Genomic DNA, 27,141 nt, shown 5'->3' with positions numbered 1-27,141 from the left:
TGACTGATGATGAAACCTAAGTTTTTTACCACTCTTCTGTCCCATCCTATTCTATCTCCATTTTAAAGTCACTGTGCCATCATAATACTCAAAATCTAAAATCTGGTGACTGTGAGCACTTCCAACAGATTCCATACTTACTCTTTTCACATTGTTACCACCACCAAGGCAACCAAGAGCTTCAGATCTTTGAGCAAAGAACTCTCCTAAAGACAGACGTAAATAACTGGCATCATCTTTATCCAAATCTGATGTGCTACGTGATTTCCTCAACAGACTGTAATTAATTGTAGCTCCCCAGGACGTATCGCCCAGTGCAACCGAAGTATTATGAGCATCTATGTTTTCTTCCTAGGGAGAAAGTTATTGTTTCGTTTCTTTCCCCCAGCAAGTCACTTTTCTGTTGTTCTAATATACAAAAACTAAAAAAGTCTTACCAAGAAAATTTAAAAAGTAATTTTGAAAAACTAGACAAAAAAAAAATTGGACAAACTGAAGCATCATCAGCTACCACAGCTAATGAAGTCCAGAAAAGGAAAATGAGTATTTTTGAACACTTGAGTTATAATACACACGATCATGAGTTGCTCATGACAGCGCTTTCCTGTAATCCCAGCTACCTGGGAGGCCAAGATGGGAGACTCATGTGAGCCCAGGAGTTCAAGACCAGCCTGAGCAACATGGCGAGACCCCATCTGAAAAATAATAAGAAGAATGTTATCTTCATCTATTGCTTCATTAAACACTATCATAAATTTTGAATCTTCAAAATAAGATTGAAATAAGATTGTCATAAATAAGAATCTTCATAAAAAAACAAACAGGATTACCTCACTTTAAAACATATTTTAAAACTATAGAAATACAGCCCAGTACACTGGCTCACACCTGTAATCCCAGCACTTTGGGAGGCCAAGATGGAAGGATTGCTTGAACCCAGGAGTTCCAGACAAGTCTAGGCAACGTAACAAGCCTCCATCACTACAAAAAATAAAAAAATAGCTAGGCATGGTAGCACATGCCTGCAATCCCAGCTACACAGGAGGCTGAGACAGGAGGATCACTTGAGCCCAAAAGCTTGAGGCTGCAGTGAACTATGATCACCACTGCACTCCAGCCTGGGTGACACAGCAAGTCCTGTCTCAAAAAATAAAAATAAACTATGGAAATATCCATTAATGCCATTAAAGCAATTCTAAGTGAATTAAAGATATATTTCAGTATGTCAATGATCTTCAATTAATAATTTAGAGTATTTTATTTAGAGTATGAGGGAAAAAGCAGAAGTTGTCTAGCCATAAGAAAAATATGAAATAATTCTATACTAACCATATATTCAGAAAGAAATGAACACTGTGCCTACACTTACACTAATACAGGAAAAATTTTAAATTTTGGATAAAACAAATAATTACAAACCTGTATAAATTGATGCTCTTTATTAAATTCTTCTTCATCTTGTGCAATCAAATCAAATGCTTCAGCTTAAAAAAGAATGTTTATATAAATACATTACACTAATGCCTAAACAAACACTAGCACACAGATACAAGTTAGGAAAATGAAATACTAAGGAAATAAAGTTGTAACAAGTATGTAAAAGCTTGCACTCATGACTCATGCATCTGTATTAAATGCTTAAGTCTGTGGTTGTCAAACTTTTGCTAAAGAACACCTTGCTGTAGTTATTTTGTCACTAACGTACCCCAATTTACTCAGGGGCTTTACAATGAAAGCTTTTTCTCTCTAAAATTAATGTTTGCTTTGGAGAGTTTGGCACTCTTGCATTGAGGCACTCATCCATGAATGCTGGTGGAATTTCATCAGGAGTCATCAGACTGATAAGCCCTCTATAAGCTTGTCATGAAGATGGCTACAAGCGTGCCCCAGGACCGCTTGCCCCCCATCCCAGGAAACCCCGGTCCGGACAAAGACTGGGAGTCCCCTAATGTCTGCCCTCAAGGCTGCTGCCGAGCACCTCAGCCCTCCCTGGGAAAGGAACGCCAGCCTAAGCACACTCAACCTCAGGCCAAAGGCCATCACTAAAATGCCTCAGAGGGATGGGGCAAATGGGCAAAGAGGGCCAGGGCCAGAAACACAACTGGGAGTGGTGGATTTGTGGCAAACTAGGAGGCCCAAGACCCTGCTTGAGGCATCAGAATCGCCAAGAACTTTAAATGTGTTGGTGAAATGTATGCCAGCCAGATGCTAGACTGCCTGGCTGTAGCACTCTAGGCCTCTGCCTGGCACTGCAGGGTTGGAGCAGAAAGGAGAAAAGTGAATGGTGAGCCAGAGGGAACAGTCCACTCATGGCCCAAACATGACGGAGGCTCCCCACTATCATGTGTCCATGAGGGACCAATCAGATCCACACTGCTCCTTTGCGACCCTAGACTGTGTCCCACATTCACAACCTAAGACAAAAGAAAAGCAGACACAGGATATTTCTGTTCAGGAAAAGCAGAGCACCAAAGCCCACTGAGGCTTCCTACCTGTCAGAACAGTGCTAGTTCTTTACCTTGTTAAGTGACCATTTCTTATTAAAAAAAACAAACAAAACACTTTTTTTTTTTTTGAGACAAGGTCTGGCTCTGTTGCACAGGCTGGGGTGCAGTGGTACAATCTTGGCTCACTGCAACCTCTACCTCCTGGGCTCAAGCGATTCTCCTGCCTCAGCTTCCCCAAAAGCTGGGCCTACAAGCGTGTGCCACCACCCTCAGCTAATTTTTGTATTTTTTGCTAGAGATGGGGTTTTGCCATGTTGCCCATCCTGGTCTCAAACTCCTGGGCTCAAGCAATTCACTCACCTTGGCTTCCCAAACGGCTAGGATTACAGGCATAAGCCAAAATGCCCAGCCTAAGAAAAAACACATTCTTAACCTACAGCACAGAACCTAGGAATGAGCATCAGGAGAACCATGAAGCCCTCAAAATTACATGCAAAATCATACATTCCATATATTTCTATGAAGATTCATTGTGGAATCTATGACTCAAGCTAAGTTAAAAACCACTGCCCTAAAAGATGAAAGGAGCAACCAACCAAATCTGACAGCCAAGAGAAGGGAAGTAGGAAACTCGGCCCAAAAGAGGGTAATATGGTTTGGCTGTGTCTCCACCCAAATCTCAACTTGAATTGTTATCTCCCAGAATTCTCAAATGTTGTGGGAGGGACCCAGGGGGAGATAACTGAAACATGGAGGCCGGTCTTTCCCATGCTATTCTCATGATAGTGAATAAGTCTCACGAGATCTGATGGGTTTATCAGAGGTTTCCACTTTTGCTTCTTCCTCATTTTTTCTCTTGCTGCCGCCATGTAAGAGGTGCCTTTTGCCTCCCACCATGATTCTGAGGCTTCCCTAGCCACGTGGAACTGTAAGTCCAAGCAAACCTCTTTTTGTTCCCAGTTTCGGGTATGTCTTTATCAGCAGCATAAAAACAAACTAATACAGAAGGTAACCCAAAAGAAACTTAATTTACTTTGAGGAGTTAAATATCACCTGGTTTTTAAATAATTGACCGAACAGCTCAAAATAGGATTTATTATATTCCTAAATGCTTTTTCTCTGAACTATAAGGGATTCATCAAAGAAACATCTATATTAACACTGTTATCTTGTCTACTCATCAGAAATCAATCACAGCCAATAAGAAAGCAGAACTTCACTTTTTATGAGAATCTATGCCAATTCTTTGGCATACCTAAAACAACAATCCTCTTGTACTGAATGCTTCCGAGGCCAAACGTGGAAGCAGCCCATTTGTGTTTCCCCCACTGTCGAACTCTCAGGTCATAAGCGGCAGCAATGCAGCACCTTGAATAGATGGAGCTGAGCTGTCGGCAAGGAGGAAGGCAGGCATGGGGAAGAAGAGGAGGCAGGCTTTTTTTTTTTTTTTTTTATGAGACAGAGTTTTGCTCTGTCGCCTAGTCTGGAGGGCAGTGGTGCAATCTCGGCTCACTGCAAGCTCTGCCTTCTGGGTTCACGCCATTCTCCTGCCTCAGCCCCCTCCTGAGTAGCTGGGACTACAGGTGCCCACCACCACACCCAGCTAATTTTTTGTATTTTTTTTTTTTTTAGTAGAGACAGGGTTTCACCATGTTAGCCAGGATGGTCTCGATCTCCTGACCTGGTGATCCACCCACCTTGGCCTCCCAAAGTGCTGGGATTACAGGCGTAAGCCACTGCGCCCGGCCGAGGCAGGCTCTCTTAAGGAACTGTTCTGAATAAAGTTTATAAGTAGGCAAATTTTCATTTAAAATGACTTGGACGTTACAAGATTACACCCTTTTTTCCAACCTTCCTTTTCTGAATATCTCCTTTTATTACATTTTTAAAGTTCCTTTCTCCTTTTCAGTAAAAAGGCTCCCATTTCATTAATGCTACCTCCACCCCTATTTCCCTGGATCTAGTCCATCCTTCCCAGCACCCATCAGGTTTTCTGTCCACCAACCTTTTTAATAGCTTTCCATCTCCCCGTTTCCCTTTCCTCCCCACCCATGCTAGTCATCCTTTCCAACCAGACTAGTATTCATTCCCTAAGCACAAGGATGGTTTCATTCAATCTTTCCGTTATCATTTTTTATTTTTTAATAGTAATACATCTAATAATTCAAATTTAAAAGGTGTATTTATGACACCACAATAAAGAGCTTTTCAAAGTTAACCAAAGACTTACAAGGGTATATACTGAAAACTATCTCCCCATCCCTGACCCTAGTTTCCCACACCCCCAGAAGCAACCAACAGCTAAAATATTTCTGAAATGTCTATCTGAATTTTTGATTTCTGAGTTCAAGTAACTAGACATTCCTGTAGTCAGTATCTTGTTTTATCTTTCCATTGTATGTATTTACAAATATCTGTATGTACATCCTCCCCTCTCCTACCTTTCTACACAAATGTTAGAATACTTTATGTGCTTTGAGGTGGACTTTATCTTTAATTTATTCCAGTGATCATTCCATTTGAGTAACTAAAGAGCTCCTTTACCATTCTGTATAGCCACAGGGTACCTCCTTGTATGGATGCACCTTAATTTATACCCTATTTTGTCCATCTACATTGCTTCTAACGTTGTTATCACAGACAATGCTGCAAGTAATGAGCCTGCACATACACCATGTATCATTTATGCAAGTGTATCTGAAGAATAAATTCCCAGAAGCAGAACTGCTCGGTTACAGGATAGTACATGCGTAACTTTGCTAGATGCTGCAATGTCATTATAGGTAGACGCGGTGCCAAGAATGGACTAGCATACCTGTGTCCCTCACATCTTTGCTAAGACAGTTTTATCACCAAACTTTTGGATCACTACCAAGGAAATAACTGAAAAATACTATGACTGGGTGGATTTACACTGCATTTCTTTCCATGATTAAAAATGAACATTTTTTGTTGTACATTTAACGATCGTTTTTATTTCTTTTTCTATAAATTGTTTCCAATTTTGGGGTAGTTGGTCTTTTTCTTATTGTTTATTGGAACTGTTTATATATTAGGGGAATGGGCTTTAAACCTGTAATATGAATTGCAAATCTTTTATTCTCAGTTTGCTAATTTTTAAAAACTTTTTACGATAGAGAGGTGAAGTGTACAGCTCAAGGAATTTTCACAATCTGAACACATCTGCATAGCCAACAGCACAGATTAAGAAGCATAATACTGCCAGTACCCAAACCACCCGAGCCTGCTTCCCATGCTACCTGCCCATCCACATGTAGCCACTGCCCTGTGGCTGGCTCTGCAGGAGTGCATTGCCCAGCTGTATACAAATAGAACTATAGAGTGTGTGTTCTTAGTCAGCTTTACGTCATTCCACATGTTCCTGAGATTCATCCATGTTGTTGCATGTAACTTCACATCACTCATTCTCATTGCAACCTAATATTCCAGGGTATGAATAAACATAATCCATTCTATGGCTGAGGGAGGGGAGGGTGATTCTGCAGTGACTTGGAAACTTCCACTGCTAATGGGAATTTGAGAATTTGGGGCTGATACAACTAGTGCTGCTATAAACATTTTAGTATGTCTTTTGGTGAATACATACGCCCTATTCTGCTGCATATGTACTCAGGTGTACAATTATTAGGTCATTAAGTATGAAGTTCATAAAGTTCACCCTTACAAGACACTGCCAAACAGGTTTCCAAAATGGCTGTACCAATTTACACTCCCACCAGCAACACATGAGAATTCCATGATCTTTTAAGTGATAAATATCCACCATTCGGTCTGCATCATCATTTTTAGATCAAGATATCATTGAGCAAGTCCTAACCGCAACTCAGCTTCACACTTCTGACCCCTATTTCCACTAATGACTACTTCTGCCTCAAACCACAATCACCCAAAATCTACACTTTCTTCTGACTCCCCGCCTCAGGTAATGGTATCGCCATTGCCCCAAGTAACTCAGACCACAGACCCTCCTCTCTTCCTGCCTCTCTACTATCCCCTGAAATCCAGCCATCAAATCCTAACCATTTTACTTCTACGTCTTTCACTAGCTACTCTCTTCATTTTCACTGGGACATCTAGATTTCTACAACATCCTAAGAACTATCCCAAACAACCCTAACTACCAGGAGAAGATTCACCAAGCAAGTTCCACAAGCAACGAGTCCTGACGCTTTCCAGACAAGCCTCAATCTTGGGCATGGTGGTCAAAACTCAATCCACTCCCTGGCCCTAATGACCTCTCCAGCTTCACCTCCTAGCCTCCGGCCACTCTCCCTTTATCCTGCCATAAAGGCTGGCCACACTGGACCATGCACCTTCTCAAACATGCCCACACTTCACCATCTCATTCCTTTCCAACTGGGCTTTCTCTCCATTTGAAATTTCTCATGCCCCCAAAGGATTACCTGTGAAAACTCTACCTCAAAAGTGGCTTCCTATGTGAAATTCTTTTGCTACCTACTCGTGCAACATTTGTTTCTTCTCTAAATTCCAGTGCTTTTGGTTTGAGTTTCTCATGATGCCGATGACTGTGTACTGCATTCTTGTCTCATCATTCTGGGCTGATAAACAGTTTCTTAAGGACTGGCATACTACCTAATTTATTGCTGTAATTCCACATTACAAGACTTTCTTAAAGAAGCTTAGCACAAGCAGTAGATGGGATAACTTCTTCCTCTGGCGCAAGCCTATTAACAATAAGGCCAGGTGGCCGGGCGCGGTGGCTCACGCCTGTAATCCCAGCACTTTGGGAGGCCGAGGCGGGCAGATCACGAGGTCAGGAGATCGAGACCATCCCGGCTAAAACGGTGAAACCCCGTCTCTACTAAAAATACAAAAAATTAGCCGGGCGTAGTGGCAGGTGCCTGTAGTCCCAGCTACTTGGGAGGCTGAGGCAGGAGAATGGCGTGAACCCGGGAGGCGGAGCTTGCAGTGAGCCGAGATCCCGCCACTGCACTCCAGCCTGGGCGACAGAGCGAGACTCTGTCTCAAAAAAAAAAAAAAAAAAAAAACAACAATAAGGCCAGGCTTGACAGGCCCCTGAGCAGCGTGGCTCCTTCCAGTTACAGAAGAGCTCAGCCCTGAGGGTTGCAGCATAGCATCTTCACAGTCTCCAGCTCAAAATCTCGTGACCTGGCATTGTGTAGACCTAAACCAGTTTCTATATTCACTGTCGGGGATGATGCTAATCAACAACCTGTTTCTTTTCACGCTTTTATCCCTTGAGATTTCACTGTATTTTTGGTTACTTTTCTTCCATCATTTCTACCACACTTTCTACCTTTCATGGACTGGTTTTTGTAACTGCTGATTTATCAGGACATTTCCTTTGCTCAGGTCACAAATTTTAAAGGGACAAGCAAAACCTAAAGTCCCTTCCAGCCCTGCAATACTATGGGGTCTACACGGTAGTATACAAATGCTATTCTCACTCATTGGCTTTGCTTAAGGAAATGGCTTGGCTCATTCTACAATGATTAAGACTGGCTAACTAAAACCTTGGGTCCTATAAAAACAAGTGAAGTGCTTCCAGAATACAGTGATAGTCCAGAAGGGATCTGATGTGGCTGACCAACATATACACAGTAATCTTAGAAAGATCAGAAACAGTGAAAATGTTATAATAAATGTTTATCCATATACTTACAACCAGATCTGAAGTCTTCATTCATCTCATCACTTAGAGACACATTTAAATTTTGTTTGCTATTAAAAGATGTGTAATAGGCAAGGTCTGTGACCCACCTACCCTCTTCATTTTGATAGACCACACTCTGTGGGAGATCTGTTTCTAAAAAATAAAATTCCCAAAATATCAAATGACACATGTAACAACTAAAATGACAAAACATTCTCAATTTTTTTTAAATTCAGATGACTACCTTAGTTATCAACAGTACTGAAGTTTGCCAAAGCTAGTTAGAAAAAGGAAAACCCATTTCCCCAAAAGAAAAGTATCTCTTTGATAGAAAGCAAGCCAGCCTTACTCACAAAAAAGTCTATAATGGAGAATGAGGAATAAAGAAAGAATGCTAAGAGTTAGCTAGAAAGGTACATTTTCACTAGATCTGTGAGAAAAGATACCATTTCTGAGCAATCCTCCCTGTACAAGTAGATTTAAAATTTTGTTTAAACTATAAAACACTAAAATATTTCAACAGGAAAGACTGGCACATTTCACATGAAAATATGTCCTATTCAAAATGTATGAACATCTATTTCTTTCACTCTATTTTTTAAAAAGTCCACTTACTGTCTTTATTCTTTTCGATGGACTCGTGACATTCACATGTTCGCCTTTCACAAGTTGGTGACCAAATGGCATCAGTGAAATTAATTCCACTGTCACTAATGGGCTTCAAAGAGGCTACATCCACATTTTCTTGAATGGACACCGTAGGAGTCTCAGTGTCTAAACATCCATCCATGTGCAAAACTGTCTTATTTTGGTGAGGACACTCTGCCCCCTGTTTTACAGGGTCAGTCAGATCAAAACCACCTCTATTGGCATTTGCATCATGAAAATTATCAGAGTTAAGTTTCACATCAATAGCCCTGAGGGTCTTCACCAGAACATCTTTACTTGCACATTCCTTTAAAACAAAAAATCAGATTTTTTAACAGAGCAACAGTAAGTCTTGTTTTTTATAACTTATTTTAAAATTTATGGGAAAAATTATATAGTTGATATAAAATGTTTATTATATGAAAGAAGAGAACACACAGTATTCGCTGTATTCTAGACTATATGTGAATATATGAACCAATGATAAGCAACTTACCAAAACCAGACTTTGTGATGTGGTCATAGGAAACACATCAAGAGATTTACATACCAAAAGTGAGCTCTGTGTGTGCATTACATTACAGGATGATAGAAATGTTGTCAGCCCAACTTTTATCATTACCAATAAAAGTCTCCACAAACATGGTAAGCCTATTAGTGTGACTAGCCTCATAAAATTAATATGGATAAACAGCCCTAGATATTAATATCTTTTAATAGGAGTAAGGCAGTTTATACTACAAATGGCCCTGGCCAGTCCAGTAAAATTTGTATCAGACACAGCAAATTAATCCAGTGCCTTCAAACTATGCTCTCCAAAACATTTTTCCAAGTGGCACTTCTTATTCCTTCCTAAAATAACAACTGCTGAAAAGGGGCTCAAGTGTCTTCAGTACTGTTAGTGGACATTTGGCTGCCACCATGGTATCACATGCCAATGAAACTTATTAACAGCAGTCCTTTCTGCTATAGTAAGACAAGCAATAAGAACAACCTGGTAAGGCACAGTTTCTGAAAGTTACAACACTAAAAGGAGGTCGTTCTAAATAAATGATAACTTTCGAATAAGAAAGACATAGGTTCAAATCCTAGTGCCACCATTTATTAACTGGGTGCTTTGCCAACATTATTATATAAAAATAAACATCAAGGCCAGGCGCAGTAGCTCACACCTGTAATCCCAGCACTTTGGGAGGCCGAGGCGGACGGATCACCTGAGGTCAGGGGTTCGAGACCACCCTGGCCAACATGGTGAAACCCCATCTCTACTAAAAATACAAAAATTAGCCGGGCGTGGTGGCGGGCACCTGTAATCCCAGCTACTCGGGAGGCTGAGGCAAGAGAATCACTTGAACCTGGGAGGCGGAGGTTGCAGTGAGCCAAGAACCCGCCATTGCACTCCAGCCTGGGGGACAAGAGTGAGACTTCGTCTCAAAAATAAATAAATAAAATAAATAAACAAACATCAAAATAAATTCCAGATGACTTAAAGATTTAGATATAAGAGTACTAGGAAAAAATACAGATGATTGTCTTATATTCTTCAGTGGATAACATCTTCTAAGTGTAACACTCTGATGTCTTGAATTGTTTCCCCTCAAAAAGATATATCCAAGTCCTAAGCCTGGTAACTATAAATTGCGATATTATTCTGAAACAAGGTCTTTACGGATGTAATTAACTTAAGGATCTTGAGATAAGACCATCCTGGATTTAGGGACCCTAATCACAATGACCAATGTCTGTATCACAGACAAGAGAAGAAAATTTTAGACAAAGACACAGAGGACAAGGCCACGTGAACACACAGAGAGAGATGTGAGTGCTGCTGCTACAAGCCAAGGAACACCAGGAGCCAGCAGAAGCCGGGAGAACCAGGAAGGATTCTCCTCTAAGAGCCTTAGGAGGGAGAATCACCCTGCTAACACCTTGATTTCAGACTTTTGGCCTCCATAACTGTGAGGAAATAAATTTCTGTTGTTTTAGGCATGCCTGTGGTAATTTGCTCTGGCAACCTAGGAAGCTCATACACACATTAAAGCCTAAAACATATAAAGATCAATATATTTCCATAACATAAAAACCTTACAAAATTAAGTTAAAATACAAATACCCCAATAGAAAAAAAAAAGTCAAATAAAACAAGATAACTGCTTTTCATATACAACACTTGCAAAGATTAAAAAGAAACATAATGTGGAAAACTGGCTGTCTCATCCATAAAGCAACTTAATCTTGAACAAAGAAGGCAGTTACAACTTCGAGCTTCCAGTTCTGAGTATAAAGGGCTTGGAAGTCGCCACTCCATCCCGACAACAAGTAAAAAGATGAACAAACTGACAAATCAACAACTCTTCTTAGATCCCTAAGAGAAGGTAACAGGATAAACTGGGGCCTCTAAAACTGGAGAGACAGGCAAATACAGAGCATCCTAACATACCAGGGGATATACTCCCAAGCAGAAACCTCCACAGTAACCAGCAGAGAAGGAATACCTGACATGTAACTGGTGAATTGCTGCAGGCTCAGTGTGGAAAAGTCTGAGAGTTAAAAACTCCAGAGGATCCAGTCATAGGTGGGCCCCATGCTTTTGTGAGTTTTACTTGCAGCACAACCAAGTTCTCACAGCAAATAATGGAGAAAAATCCCCTTGGGCTTCCAGTATGGGGAGGAGAAAGGGGTAATTTTGAAATATAACAGGGCACTTTGTTCTTAGAAAAAACAAGAACAAACCTCAAGAAAACCTAACCTGCTGGGGTTTTATCTGAGCCTAAGTAGCCTGGGGAAAGTTAAATACCCAACTCCAGCTCCCTCTAGCCACCCTGTCCATCCTAAGGGGAGGAAAAAACTGAGAAACACTTGTGGAGTGCACAGTCTAAAGACACAGGCTCACTTAAAGACTGAGACTGAATCACAGCATTATGGAATGCTTTCCCTCCCCAACACCTTACCACAACATAATGAAAGGCCTATTTACAGTAGTTCTTTTACTTGGTACATCACGTCCAGCTAACAAGAAAAAATTAAAAGGCATACTAAAAGGCAAAAAAAACAGTTTGAAGAGACAAGGCAAGCATCAGAACCAGCAGAACCAGATATGGCAGGGATGTTGGTATACTCAGGCCAGAAATCAAAAACAATTATGATGAATATTCTAAGGGCTCTAATGGATACAGCAGACAACATGAAAGAACAGAGTGGCAATGTAAACAGAGAAATGGAACTTATGAGAAAGAATCAGAAAGAAATGCCAGAGGTCAAAAACTGTAACACGTGAGGAATGTCTACGCTGGGCTCATTGGTAGACTGGACACAGCACAGGAAAGATACTCTGAGCTCCAGGATATGCCAATGGACTTCTAAAACTGAATGCAAAGACAACAATGAATGAAAAAAACAATCTCAAAAAACTGCAGGACAACTACAAAATGTATAACATATGCATAACAGAGATATCAAAAAGAGAAGACAAACAGAAAGCAACAGAATATTTGCAACAATAATGACTGAGAATTTCCCCAAACTAATTCAGACAATAAGCCACATACCGGGAAGCTCACAGAACTCCAAATAAGATAAAGGCATACTGCAATAGGGCTGTACTTGGAAAAAAATAAATAAAAACCAAAACCAATACTTCACCTAAGCATATCATTTCAAACTACAGAAAATCAAAGATAAAGAAAAAATCCTAAAGAAACCAGAGAGGAAAAAAATCACCTTGCTCACAGAGAACAAAGAGCGACATTTGGCTTCTCCTCAGAAACCATGCCAAGCAAGAAGGCAGTGAAGTAAACTACTTTAAAGAGTTGAAAGAAAGAAACCATCAATTTCTAATTCTGTACCCTAAGAAATTATCCTTCAAACATGAAAGGGAAATACCTTCTCAGACAAGCAAAAATTGAAGGCATTTGTTGCCAGCAGACCTGCCTTGCAAGAAATTTTTTAAAAAGTTATTTTGAGAGAAGATAAATATATAGGTCAGAATCTTAAATCTACAAAGAAAGGAAGAGCATCAAAGACAGAATAAGTAAAGGTAAAACAAACATTTTATTTTTCTAATTTTTAACTGGTCTAATAACATTGTTCAGAAAAATAATGGCAACAATGTATTCAATTATGTATGCTTACGTGTATGTATACATAGGTGAGGGTGTGTGTCTATATACAGACACACATATATGCTTATATTTACTTATATGTAAGTGAAATGAATGATAGCAATGATACAAGGAATGGGAGGGAAGAATTAGGAATATTTTGTTATTATCATTACTCAAACTACCTGTTAAGCAGTGTAATGTTATCTGAAAGTGAATATGGATTAATTTTAAATATATACTGCAAACTCTAGAGCAACCACTAAAAAAAGTGGGACAAAAAAGAATTATATCTGATATGCTAACAAAGAGAAAATGGAATCATATAAAATGCTGAATTAAGACCACAAAGAGACCAGGCACAGTGGCTGGCCCCTGTAATCCCAGCACTTCAGGAGGCCAAGGTGGGAGAATCACTTGAGGCCAGGAGCTCAAGACCAGACTGGGCAACATAGCAAGACCCTAGCTCTACAAAGAATTTAAAAGTTAGCCAGGTGTAGTGACATGTGCCTGTTGTCCCAACTGCTCAGAAGGCTGAGGCAGGAGGATCGCTTGAGCTTAGCAGTTCGAGGCTGTAGTGAGCTATAATCCTGCCACTGCACTCCATTCTGGGCAACATAGAGACCCTGTCTCAAAATAGTAATAATAATAATAATAATATTCTTAAAATAAAACCACAAAGAGAAGAATAAGACTGAAAGAAAAAAATAGGGGAAAAAAACAAGAACAACATGGCAGACATTAATCCAACTATATCAATTAATCACTTTCAAAGTCAATGGTCTAAATACACCAACTGGCTGGGTGCAGTGGGTCACGCCTGTAATTCCAGCACTTTGGGAGGCCAAGGCGGGTGGATCACTTGAGGTCAGGAGTTCGAGACCAGCCTGGCCAACGTGGTGAAACTCCATCTCTACTAAAAATACAAAAAAATTAGCCAGGTGGGGTGGCGCACAATTGTAATCCCAGCTACTTGGGAGGCTGAGGCAGGAGAATTGCTTGAACTCAGGAGGTGGAGGTCGCAGATAGCTGAGATCGCACCACTGCACTAGAGCCTGGGCAACAGAGCGAGACTCGGTCTCAAAAAAATAAATGAATAAAAATAAATAGGCCAGGCACGGTGGCTCATGCCTGTAATCCCAGCACTTTGGGAGGCCAAGGCGGGTGGATCATGAGGTCAGGAGATCAAGACCATCCTGGCCAACATGGTGAAACCCCGTCTCCACTAAAAATACAAAAATTAGCTGGGCATGGTGGTGCATGCCTGTAATTCTAGCTACTCGGGAGGCTGAGGCAGGAGAATCAATTGAACCAGGGAGTCAGAGGTTGCAGTGAGCCGAGATTGCACCACTGCATTCCAGCCTGGCAACAGAGCAAGACTCCACCTCAAAAAATAAATAAATAAATAAACAAACAAACACACCAACTGAAAGAGATTTTCAGAGGAGAATCAAAAAACAAGACCTAAGTATATGACGTCTACAAGAAACCAACATGTAGATTAAAAGTAAATGGATGGAGAAAGATATACCATTAAAACACTAGTCAAAAGAAAGCAGGAATAGCTATATTACTTTCAGACAGAGCAGACTTCAAAGTAGGGAAAGTTATCAGAGATAAGGCAGGGTACTACATAATGATATAGAGGAATCAATTCTCTAGGAAGACATAACCATCCTTAACGTGTATACACCTTACAAGACAGCATCAAAATACAGGTAGTAAAAACTAATAGAACTACAAAGAGAAATAGATGAACCAACTATCATAACTGGTGACCTCAACACTCCTCTATCAGAAACAGATCCAGCGAGAAGAAATTCAATAACAACACAGTTGAACTCAACACTAACAATCAACTAGATATAATGGACATCTATGGAATACTTCACCCAAAAACTGCAGAATACACATTCTTCTTATCAGAAAAAAACTCACGAAATAGATACAATTTGAGTAGGCCCCTATCTGATAAAGAAATTAAGGCAATAATGAATAACCTTCCAAAATAGAATGCACCATGCCCAGATAGGTTCAACAGTGAATTCCACCAAACAAGGAAAACATTATACTAATTCTCTACAACCTTTTTCAGAAAATAGCAGAGGGAATACTTACTAACAGATTCTATGAAGTCAGCATCAACCTAATACCCAAACTAAAGACATCACAAAAAAATAAAACTACTGACCAATTTCTCCCATAAACACAGATTCAAAGCTCCTCTACAGAATATTAGAAAATCAAATCAAATATTATATAAAAAGAATTATACATCATAACCAAGGAGATCCCAGGTATGCAAGCCTGGTTCAACAATCAAAAATCAATTTACAGACTACAAAAAAAACAAAATCATGCGATCATATCAATAGCTGCAAAAAAAAAAAAAATTGACAAAAATCTAACACCCATTCATGATAAAAATTCCCAGTAAACTAGAGAGAGAAACATTCTCAACTTGATAAAAATAAAATAAGTTAAAAAACCTATAGCTAGCATCATACTTAATAGTAAGAAGCTAGAAGCCTTTCCACTAAGATCAGAAATAAGGCAAAGATGTCTCCTCTCACCACTACTTTTCAACATCATACTATAAGTCCTAGCTAATGCAATTAAGACACGAAAAGGAAATAAAGTGTATATAGATTGGGAGGAAATAAAAACTGTCTTTAAGTCCTATCTAATGCAATAAGACAAGAAAAGGAAATAAAATGTATATAGATTGGGAAGAAATAAAAACTGTCTTTGTTTGTAGATGACATGATTATCTATGCAGAAAATCCAAAAGAACTGACAAAAAAATTCCTGGAACTAATAAAAGATGACAGCATACATGTTTATTATATAAAAGTTAACTGCTTTCCTATACACTAGCAATGAACAAGTAGAATTTGAACTTTAAAACAATACTATCTACATTAACACCCCCACATATGAAATAAGTTAGGTATAAATCTAACAAAATATATATAACATCTATGTGCTAGAAAACTACAAAACTCTGAGAAAGAAATAAAAGAAAACCAAATAAATAGAGAGATATTCAATGTTCATGGATAGGAAGACTCAACACTGTCAAAATGTCAGTTCTTCCCAACTTCACCTATACATTCAATTTAATACCAATCAAAATCCCAGCCAAGTTCTGAATTTGGATACTGACAAACTGATTCTAAAGATTACACAGGCTGGGCATGGTGGCTCATGCCTGTAATCCCAGCACTTTGGGAGGCAGAGGCGGGTGGATCGTTTGAAATCAGAAGTTTGAGACCAGTCTGGCCAACATGGTGAAACCTCATCTCTACTAAAAATACAAAAATTAGCTGGGCATGGTGGCGTACACTTGTAATCCCAGCTACCTGGCAGGCTGAGGAGAGAGGATCGCTTGAACCCAGAAGGTGGAGGTTGCAGTGAGCCAAAATCATGTTACTGCACTCCAGCCTGGGTGACAGAGAGAGACTCCGTCTCAAACAATAAAAAGAAAAATTAAAAAAAAAAATAAAGTTTACACAAAGAGGCAAAAGACCCAGAATAACCAACTCAATCTTGAAAAATAAGAATAAAGTGAGAAGACACTGTCCAATTTCATTACTTAATAAAGCTGCAGTAATCAAGACAGTGATGTAATGGTGAAAGAACAAACAGATCAGCAGAATAGAGATTCTAAAAACTGACCCACATAAATATAGTCAAACTAATCTTTGACAAAGGAACAATGGCAACACGATGAAGCAAAGATAGTCTTTTCACAAATGGTGCTGGAACAATTGGATATTTATATGCAAAAAAATGAATCTCAAAAAAGACATTACACCTTTCACAAAAATTAACTGAAAATGGATGACAGACCTAAATGTAAAATGCAAAACTATAAAACTCCTAGAAGATAACAATGGAGAAAAATCTAGAAGGTACAAGATCAGCACACAAAAATCAGATGTTTCTAAACACCAGCAATAAACAATCCAAAATGTAAATTAAGAAAGCAATTCCATTTACAATAGCATCTAAAAGACGAAAGTACTTGGGAATAAATCTAATCAAGGAAGTGAAAGACATACTGAAAGCTACAAAACACTGTTTAAAGAAAGAAGACCTAAAGACCTAAACGGACACACATCCTGTGTCTTCATGAATATGAAGACTTAACACTGCAAAGGTATCAATACTACCCAAAGTGACCTGTAGATTCAACAAAATCCCTCTCAAAATTTCAACAGCCTTTTCTAAAGAAACGGAAAAGCTGATCTTCAAATTCATATGGAATTGCAAAGGGCCTCAGCCAAAAAAATCTTGAAAAAGAAGAATTAAGTTGAAGGATGAAGGACTAACACTTCCCAATGTCCTACAAAGATATAGTGATTAAAGCAGTGTGGTACTGTCAAAAAGACAGACAAATAGACCAATGGGCTAGAGAAGCCAGAAATAAACCCTCACATACATGATAAATTGATTTCTGACAAAAGTGCCAAGACCATTCAATGGAGAAAGAACAGCCTTTTTAATAAATGGTGCTGAGAAAATTTAATATCCACATGCAAAAGAATGATGTTAGTTAGACCCTTACCTAACACTATATATAAAAATAAACTCGAAACAAATCAACAATCGTTTTCTTTTTCCCTTTTTTCTTTTTCTTTCACAAAGTCACAGATTAACAATCTAAATGTAAGAGCTAACTCTATAAAACTCTTAGAATAAAACAGGAAAATCTTCATGACATTGAATTTGACAACAATTTCATAGCTATAACAACAAAAGCACAGGTAGCAATATAAAAATAGATCACACTACATCATAATTTAAAATTTTTGCACGTGAAAGGACAATATCAAGAAAGTAAAAGACAACCTACAGAATGGGAGGAAAATTTGCAATTCATACATTTGGTAAGGACTTAATATCCAGATGACATAAAGAACTCTACAATTCAACAACAACAAAAAAACTCAATTAAAAAGTGGGCAAAGGCCTTAAATGAACAATTCCCCAAGGAAGACATACATGAAAAGAAGCACATAAAAAGATGTTCAATATCACTGTCATCAGGGAAATGCAAATCAAAACCACAATGAGATACTACTTCATACTCATTAGGATAACTATAATTTAAAAAGGGAAAAAAGTAAAGAGTGTTAAATAGGATGTGGAAAAATTGGAATCCTAGTGTTTTGTTGGTGGATGTAAACTGGTGCAGCTGCTGTGAAAAACACTATGGCAGTTCCTCAAAACATTAAACACAGAATTACCATATGACCCAACAATTTCACTCCTACATATATATCCAAACAAACTGAAAGCTAGGACTCGAACAGGTATTTGTATACTGATGTTCACGGCAGCATTACACTCAAAAGCCAAAAGACAGAAACACCCAAGTGTCCACAGAAGGATGAGGGGATAAATAAAATGTGGTATATATAATAGAACATTATTCGGCCATAAGAAAAAATGAAATGTTGATATATGCTACGACATGAACAGACCTTGAAAACATCACGCTTAATAAAATAAGCCAGACACAGAAGGCCAAATATTGTATGATTTCACTTATATGAGGTTACCCAGAGTGGGCAAATTCATAGAGACAGAAAGTAGAATGGTAGCTGCCATGAGTTGGAAGGCAGGAGGGAACTGAGGTTTGTTGTTTAATGGGTAGAGTTTGTTTTACAAGATGAAGAGTCCTGAAGATTGGCTGCACAATGTAAATGTACTTAACATTATTGAACTGTACACTTAAAAATGATTAAGATAGTAGCTGGGTGTGGTGGCTCACTCCTGTAATCCCAGCAATTTGGGAAGTCAAGGTGGGCAGATCACTTGAGGCCAGGAGTTTGAGACCTGCCTGACAAACATGGTGAAACTCCATCTCTACTAAAAATACAAAAATTAACCAGGTGGTGATGTGCGCCTGTAATCCCAGCTACTTGGGAGGCTGAGACAGGAGAATTGCTTGAACCTGGGAGGCAGAAGTTGCAGTGAGCTGAGATCACGCCACTGCACTGGGTGACAGAGTGAGACTGTCTCAAAAAGAAAAAAAAAAAAGATTAAGATAGTAAATTTTATATGTATTTTACAAGTTAAAATTTAAATTAAAAATATATTTAACATGTACAAAATAGAGATGCACAGAATAAAGCAAAAAAGCAAGCATTATTTTAATCAGTACTGGACAAGTGGGTCTAAGTGAGAAAAAATTAACCTACATGCAAAATTCAAATCACAGTTTATAAAACTATAATAACACTATTTAAAAAGGGCATAATGAATAGGTATGAGTCAGAAATGACTACCAAGCTTCAGGCACAGGAGAAACGGGGTACTATTAACAAACAGAAAAAACTGAAACAATGAAAAACAAACATGTTTGAGCAAGGTAAAAGATCCGTTTGCTTTTTCATGTAATGACTGGACACTGGGCTAAAGAACTTTCCAAATGACTAATCTAAATGCAAGTCAATAAATATTTAAATGCAAGAAAATGTATATAATTGTATGATACTTATAAACATATCGAAAAATTATCAGTAGTGAGTACTTTTTCTGTATTTTTCAGAAGTCAACAGTTACTGTTTCTTTGAAAAAAACTGATATCATATAAACACAAAAGACCCCTTATTCCTTTTTTTATAGGAAATCTAAGAAAAATGCATAACTTACACTGTTAAGATCTGGAACAATACCCTTCAAATTTTCTATTTCTTTCTCAGTTCCCCAAGTACCAGAGGAAAATGGTAACATACCATCTGTGTACCTTCTACTATCTCCAGTACCTATAGAATTACCTGAAAAAATAAAGAAAAATGTTAAAGGAGCCACATCAAATCTGAGTAATCTAACATAATAACTGATTCTTGCCAGTCAAATTATTTTATGTAACCCTAATACTTAGCACTCCTATGACAAATTTAGCCATTTTCGTAGAGAGAAAATAAGCAACAGTAAGAGGCAATAATAAACATGATAAACTGCTACCATACCCAAAGAATTCATATTTAATTATCAATGTCTGGATAGAATACAATTATTTGTAATATTCAATCCAAGAAATATATACTACGGTATTTCTAGTAACACTAATTTACTCAGCTATTATTAAAAGCTCTTTTGAAAAGTTTTAGACTGTCTAAAGACCTGAGGGACTAGAAGAGTTAATATATGCTAAATCATACCAGAGAAATATTTTTTTTTTAAAAAAAGTAAAGTCAAAACTAGAACTTAAGAACAAAAGAATCATATTTCTATACTTACTAGTCCCAGGTAGACAAATAACTTGGCTTTCCTCAGACTCTTTGTGAGTTGTTTCAGAAGAGTGTGAGTCGAGGGAAATCAGAGAGCTGTTATTTTCTGATTGAAACTTGCAGTTTAAGCTACCGTTTTCATTTGCCTGTTGAAAGAATATCTTAGCTGTATTAATCTTTTAAATTAAAATGAAATATTTTGAGGGAGAAAATGTGGCTTTACTGAAGGATGCCAGAAAATAAGTGTAGAAGGAATTAGAAAAATCGCCATTGTCACCACGAGAGTAATCAATATTTCCAAGAGTCAGCAAGGACACTGAAACCAGCTAGTGAAGAGTTGCCGGGGAATAAGATGATCAAAGGGCTGATATCTCATCCCACAGATGACTTATTAATAACGAAGGGGAAAAGCTACCTTCACAAGGAGACATCCAGCTGACATCACCTTAGCCAAAATTATCAAAAACAGTATCACCAATTGTGGGAGAGATAAACGTCTCCCGGTGTAGGGCAATGAGAAGTACACAACACTGCTTGGTTTACTATGAATCCATTCATGAGAAACTGTTTAATCTGTATTCTTGCCAAAACGTTTAATCTAATCTAGTCAGGAGAGAAAACAGATTATGGTTATTTTTCCCTCCTGACTAGATTACAGTTCACTCTACAAAACAAAGGGCCTAGATTTTGCAAAATAGATCACGTCATGAAAGAACTACTCCAAATTAAAAGAGAATAAAGAGACAGGACAACCAAAGGCAAGGTTAATCTTTGATTAAATTGTAGATAAAAAATAGTAAGAATAAAGGATATTCTGGGGATTATTGGGTAAATGTGAACATGGACTGTACAGTAATTTAAATTATTATATCAAAGTTAGGTAACAGAATTGTGGTTATGCAGGAAAATGTCCTTATCTACAAAAGATAAATGCTGAAGTATTCGAGTGAAATGTCATACTCTCTGTGACTTACTTTCAAATGATTCAGAGAAGAAAGTATTTATGGAGAGAGAAAGAAAATGCAAAGGTGGCAAACTTTAGCAATTGGTTAACTGGAGGAAGAGGGTGTAGATGTCCATTGTGTTACTCCTTTAATTTTCTGTAGGTGAGGGAAAGGTACCAAGAAGGAAGAAAGGGTAGGCATTTCTTATCAATTCATACCTCGGAAACACAGAGTCCAAAGAAAAGTCCAAAGTCCAAAGGCTTACATTTCATGTGAACATCCAAGGAGACCAATAGTAATTTTCTAATGTCAAATTTCTGAAAAATCATAAAGACTGGAACACACCTGTCTAAGACCATTTGTAGGTAACTTAAAACCTTTTTCTGGAGGTTCTGGTCCTTCTAGGTCTTCATATATCATTCCTGGAATTGCCAGTTGTTCAAAATAAGCCTCCAAATGATCATCATAAAACATTTCATCATCAATATCATCATCTATTGATAAAATCGAGAAAAAACAGGACATGCTTTAAAGTAGTGACTAAGCAATAATTTGTAATTAAAAAGGCCGATAAGACATAAATGAGTCAATGGACTAAGATTTTGGTGTCTTTTTTGTTTGACATGAGAAAACTATTGTAACTTCAGTCAATTATAAACCATTATGAACATTTTAATACAAGATAAATATTTAACCTCTTTGAGAAGACAGGACAGAAACAGACCCTGGCATGTTATCAAAAGTCAGGATACAATAAATGTGGCATCACAAATCAATGAGAAGAAAGCAGACTTTCCAGAAAATGGTGTGGCAAATGGTTACCTCTTTCAAAAAAGTATAGATGAGCCTATCACAGGAGAAGTAAAAGAAAGAAAGGGAGGAAGGAGGGAGGAGGGAGGGAAGGAGAAAGGCCACTGTAGGAGTTTTCAACACTGTAACACCCAGCTCAGCAAGCACAAAATAAAACATGACCCCTCAGTCAGTCATGGTCTTCTAAGTTGGCAATGTCACTTTAGAGGTCAATTTTGCAATCAACATTAAGAGTCTCAACAACACTCATCACCTATGTCTTAGCAATTCTGTCTACAAGAATCCAGCATACTAAAGCAATCAAAGATTGGATACATTCAGGTCAATGATTATTTATCCACTATTCCAAAATCCAAAAAAGTCTGAAAACTCCTTTGATAGCAAAACCTGCTCTCCATGGATGTGATGCTCACTCCGCTCATCAGCCTGGCTTTCAAAGTCATGCATAATGTGGCCCCAGTCTACTTTTCTGGGCTTATTTACCAGTGTGGCCTCCTATAGGTGCTGTAAACTTGCCACACAAAACCCCTGGCTGTTTCCCAAAACACAACCCACGTGCTTACAGCAGGGCCTTTGCTGATGCTGTTCCTGCTTCCTGACATGTCCTCCTCCTCCTCCCATATCTAAGGCCTGGCACAGGCTCCATCCTTTTTCTAGAAAGCTTCAGTACCTGCCTCAATCAGAGTTAATTTCTCACCCCCTATAATTCCCAGGCACATTTGGGGCCTGTTGGGTTTATGAAAACCAATCTGACAATTGGCTCTGCATCTCTTCTCTGCACCTGACTAAGGTGTCCGAGAGCAGAGGCCAAATATTTCATGGTTCTGGCCAGGCGCGATGGCTCACGCCTGTAATCCCAACACTTTGGGAGGCCGAGGTGGGCAGATCACTTTAAGTCAGGAGTTCCAGACCAGCCTGGCCAACATGGTGAAACCCTGTCTCTACTAAAAATCCAAAAATTAGCCAGACATGGTGGTGGGCACCTGTAATCCCAGCTACTCAGGAGGTTGAGGCAGGTGAATCACTTGAACCCAGGAGGTGGAGGTTGTGGTGAGCCGAGATCACACCACTGCACTCCAGCCCAGGTGACAAAGCGAGATTCCATCTCAAAAAAAAAAAAAAAATTTCATGGTTCCCCTAATTTCTAAACACAATGCTATATACTGAAGGGCACCTCCAGGTGACTACTTTGTACCCTAACTATGTTAAACTGAGGATGAGTATAATCATATCAGGATAGATATATAGAAATAAATTCTTCAATTCCATCACTTAATAGAAGTGGCCATTTGAGTGCTGGCAGGTAGGAAGAAAAGGTAAGGACAAAAAACCCAAAAAGTTGGCATCATAACTACTGCAACAAAGAAGAATAAAGTGGAGTGGCAAGGTGAAGACCAGGGAAACACAGGTTACTCTGCAGTACCAGAAGAATCTTCCAAGCTTGTCGGTAAGATAAGTTTCTCATTTTCTAATAAGCTAGTGTGGCTTAGGTCACTCTTTAGAGTCTTGTCTTCAAAATGTTTTCCAGCATCAAGCACAACAATCTATAAGAAACAAAATGGCAAGTAAGAGAAGCACATTCAGGGCTCTGAAGAGCATAGTACAAGGCTACAAAAAGGACCAAATATGTTCTCAACCTCCACTGTGTTCAGTATCTGTAAATCACAGCTTAGGCAATAAAGGGCTAGCAATTGTACATGTATTAATAACTTCCCTTTCCCCCACGCCACCTCCCTCACCTGACCTGCCCAATAGAACATCCTTAAAACTTAAGGCTTCCCTCAAACTGTGCACATGCTCAGAGAGGCTCGTAATATAGTAAGTACACAAATACATAACTGAACTTGAGCAACACAAGGCTTACGAGAAAGTGAAGATAACAGCAAAGCTAGACCAGGCAGCCTGTATCTAAGGAACTGTTTGCACCATTACATTGGAAAAATCAATTTCTCTGCTCCTCAACCAGGGAACATGTAACCCTAAAGGGCACGCAGCCATTTAATGATACTCAAGGCCCAGAATGAAAATGTAACATTTCCCTCTAAGTGTGATTATATTTCATATATATTACATATATATGTAAATAACACCAGCATAGGAATTATATTGGAAAATGCGCACTGATTTTTAAGACAGAAACATGGAATCTTAATCCAATTTTACATTTAGAGAGGACAGTGCTGAGCTATTCTCACAAATATCTAAGCACCAGGGGCATCAAGGACTACTATAATCTACTGTTATTTAAAATAGATGATCACTTAAAATATGGCAAATGTTAACAGCTGTGCAATATAAGCTCTGAGCTTTGAAAGTTTTCATAATATAAAAATTGGGAAAAAATCTGTATGGGAAAGCACAATATGTAAAACATCCCTGTCTTTTTGGTCATGTTGGCTACTGAGAACACTGTGTACTCTGCCATGCTTGGTCCCTGGAAAATGTCTCCATTCTGATAAAGTGGCATAGCTCCACAGATGAGATGAGACCTACACGCAGTAGCAGCTCCCTTCAGTCTGTTTTCTAACACGTTTATTTTCCCCTATTCTCATTTCTTCCTCTTTTTAATCAAGCATCTCATGTTTCTATACTTTTGTTGCTTTCCAGTTTTAAGGTCCCTTATATTATTAATTTCAAAAATTAATTAATTTCAACTTCACTACACCTAACTTCCTCTACAAAGCATCTCTCGCACTTGAAACTTACTAGGGGTCACATACAGGGTGAGTGCATAGGGCAGGGTCAACAAACATTTTGTGTAAGGGCCAGATAATAAATACTTCAGGCTTTATGAGCAGTACAATCTCTGTCACAACTTCTCAATTCTGCTGTTGTAGCACAAATAACAGCCATAAACAAAACATACACAAATGGGCACAACCGTATTCCAATAAAACTTTACAAAAACAGCCAGCAGACTGGATGCAGGCCATAAGCTATGGTTTGCCAATCGCTGGCACAGGGAAATAACTTTTACTTTAGACCCTTTTGCATTCATTCTATAAAAATAAACTTTACAACTCTTACAAAAGGTGTACCTCCTTTTTATAAGTTTTAACAGTGTTTAGTTTATATTTTGTAAGTAAGTCTCATAAATTCATGACTGCATGCCTGAAATCCAGGTTTGGTGGTAATGTTGGGCATAAACTGTTTATCTTCTCAGCATCTCTCCTTTAAAGAGCTCATCCTTTATACTTCAGGTGGTCCAGTGGGGTTGTCACTTGCATTCCTCTATCTGCGCATGTATACACACTCACGCACAAGCACACACACAGAAGTGGACATTAGATCCAGGCTCATCCCAACCCACCCCTTGGCACAGTGATTTGCAGAGGGGAGGACATAAGAGCCAAGGGAGCTCATTAGACCTGTCTTTTTTCTCTTTTCTGATCACAAGTGTTAAGAGTATAGGCTTGTGTTGCCAACAAATGAGACAGCTTCTCTATCATTTAACAAATTATTAAGTGACAACTAAGGGCCGAGAACCATTCCAGACACTCAGGCACTCAGGATACAATGAAACACATACACACACACACAAAGAAATGCTTGCCCTCATGGAGCTAACATTCTAGATGAAGCCTGTACAGAGTGAAGCAGAGCAAACAGATGGACTCAGCTCTGACATCACCAAGCCCAAGAATACAGTCCCAGGCACCAGCACTACCCCTGAACCTTCTCATTACTTGAGAGAAACTCCCATTTTTACTGAAGCTGGATAAGTTAGAGCTCTACTAGAAAAAAGTAGATGACATCTAACTAATATTAACAGTTATATATGCGAAATATGAAATTTTACTGCCCTATAGTACTCCAGAAAATGATACCAAATATATAAAAGGTTACCTTGGGTTCCTTATTATTCATCCATGACTGTAAATGAAAATCAATAGGTGAGTCTGTGTAAGAAAACAAAAACAAACTGAGAGACCAGGTTATTTTATCAACCAAATACCCAACGATACCTAAAAATAGCAAGAAATATTTTTCTCTTGAAATAGAATAAAAGCACTTTTAAATGATGTATATGAATCCATCATAGGTCAGTTACATGTTTTTAAATGTTAGGGCAGGGAATTCATAAAAAAAATTGTACCAAAGAACTTGAATATGTATCTAATCAAGACTTTACAGCTAACTTTTGCTTTGAAGGAGATGTGGAGAGAGAAACAAGAGAAATGACACCTTGAGTAAGCAAAGGGACAAACCCAAATAGTGGGACAAACTACAGTGTGACTGACCTAGAGTATTTCAACAAGGCACTGACACACGAGACGCAACAAAGGTGCTGCAGCATAACAAAACCTCTCTCAGACCCCCATTCACACAAATCAATATGAACAACTGTATCAGATAATAAAAAAAGAATCACTAAGCTCGTTAGCTGTGTTAATAGCACCGTGGTTATGTAAGAAAATGTCCACACTTTTGGAGATGCATACTGAAATATGCACAAATGGCATCTAAAAATTTTAAAATATCAGAAAAAAGTAGTGAAAAGGAGAGATGATGCAAGTATGACAAAATCTTATACCAATGGGTAGGTACATGGGAAGTTTTTTTAATTGATACATACAATTAATATATCATTAATTCACTCTTTTAAGGTATACAGTTCAGTGGCTTTTAGTATGTTCACTAGGTTGTGCAGCCATCACCACTATTTTCATTATTCCAAAATGAAACACTATACCCATTAGCAATCACTCCCCATTCCCGCTACCTTCCAGCCTCTGACAACCAATAATTTACTTTCCGTTATTTGCCATTCTGTATCTATAGATTTCCCTATGGATAAACAGAACCATACATTTTGTGGCCTTCTGTGTCTTTCTTCTCTCACTTGGCATGTTTTCAAGGCTCACCTGTATTAAAGCACGTATCAGTACTTTGCTCCTTTTTGTGGATGAGTAATACTCCACTCATGTGGCCATACTACATTTTCTTTGTCCATTCATCAGTTGATTAACATCTGAATTGCTTCCACTTTTTGGCTGTTGTGAGTAATGCTGCTATGAACATTCATGTACAAGGTTTTCTGTGAGGTCGGACACAGTGGCTCATGCCTGTAATCCCAGCACTCTGGGAGGCCGAGGCAGGTGGATGGATTACTTGAGATCAGGAGTTCGAGACCAGCCTAGCCAATATTTGTATATTTAGTAGCCCGTCTCTACTAAATATACAAAAATTAGCTGGGTGTAGTGGTGCATGCCTGTAATCCCAGCTACTTGCGAGGCTGAGGCAGGAGAATCACTGGATCTCAAGAGGCAGAGGCTGCACTGAGCCAAGATC

At 38.6% G+C, this 27,141-nt stretch overlaps 1 protein-coding gene across 27 annotated transcripts in view; it reads right to left on the bottom strand.

Moving 5' to 3' along the window:
- CEP192 (centrosomal protein 192) overlaps positions 1-27,141 on the bottom strand; it is a 133,675-nt gene that overhangs the window by 86,316 nt on the left and 20,218 nt on the right. For 13 of the 27 annotated variants that reach the window (XM_006722326.4, XM_005258107.4, XM_047437562.1 and 10 more), the window contains exons 5-13: positions 25,696-25,748; positions 23,273-23,393; positions 21,385-21,533; positions 20,106-20,241; positions 19,515-19,639; positions 8,719-9,058; positions 8,113-8,256; positions 1,420-1,484; positions 142-351 (exon numbers count right to left, since the gene is read on the bottom strand). In XM_006722326.4, coding sequence (XP_006722389.1) covers positions 142-351; positions 1,420-1,484; positions 8,113-8,256; positions 8,719-9,058; positions 19,515-19,639; positions 20,106-20,241; positions 21,385-21,533; positions 23,273-23,393; positions 25,696-25,748 — 1,343 coding nt within the window. Of the gene's footprint in view, positions 1-141; positions 352-1,419; positions 1,485-8,112; positions 8,257-8,718; positions 9,059-19,514; positions 19,640-20,105; positions 20,242-21,384; positions 21,534-23,272; positions 23,394-25,695; positions 25,749-27,141 lie in introns of those variants that run through there. The other 14 variants (XM_047437566.1, XM_005258109.4, XM_047437567.1 and 11 more) reach the window with 5 other exon arrangements.

The sequence above is a fragment of the Homo sapiens genome, chromosome 18 (genome assembly GCF_000001405.40).
Source record: "Homo sapiens chromosome 18, GRCh38.p14 Primary Assembly".
NCBI classification, from domain to species: domain Eukaryota; kingdom Metazoa; phylum Chordata; class Mammalia; order Primates; family Hominidae; genus Homo; species Homo sapiens.
This window is presented reverse-complemented; position numbering and strand designations above follow the sequence as displayed.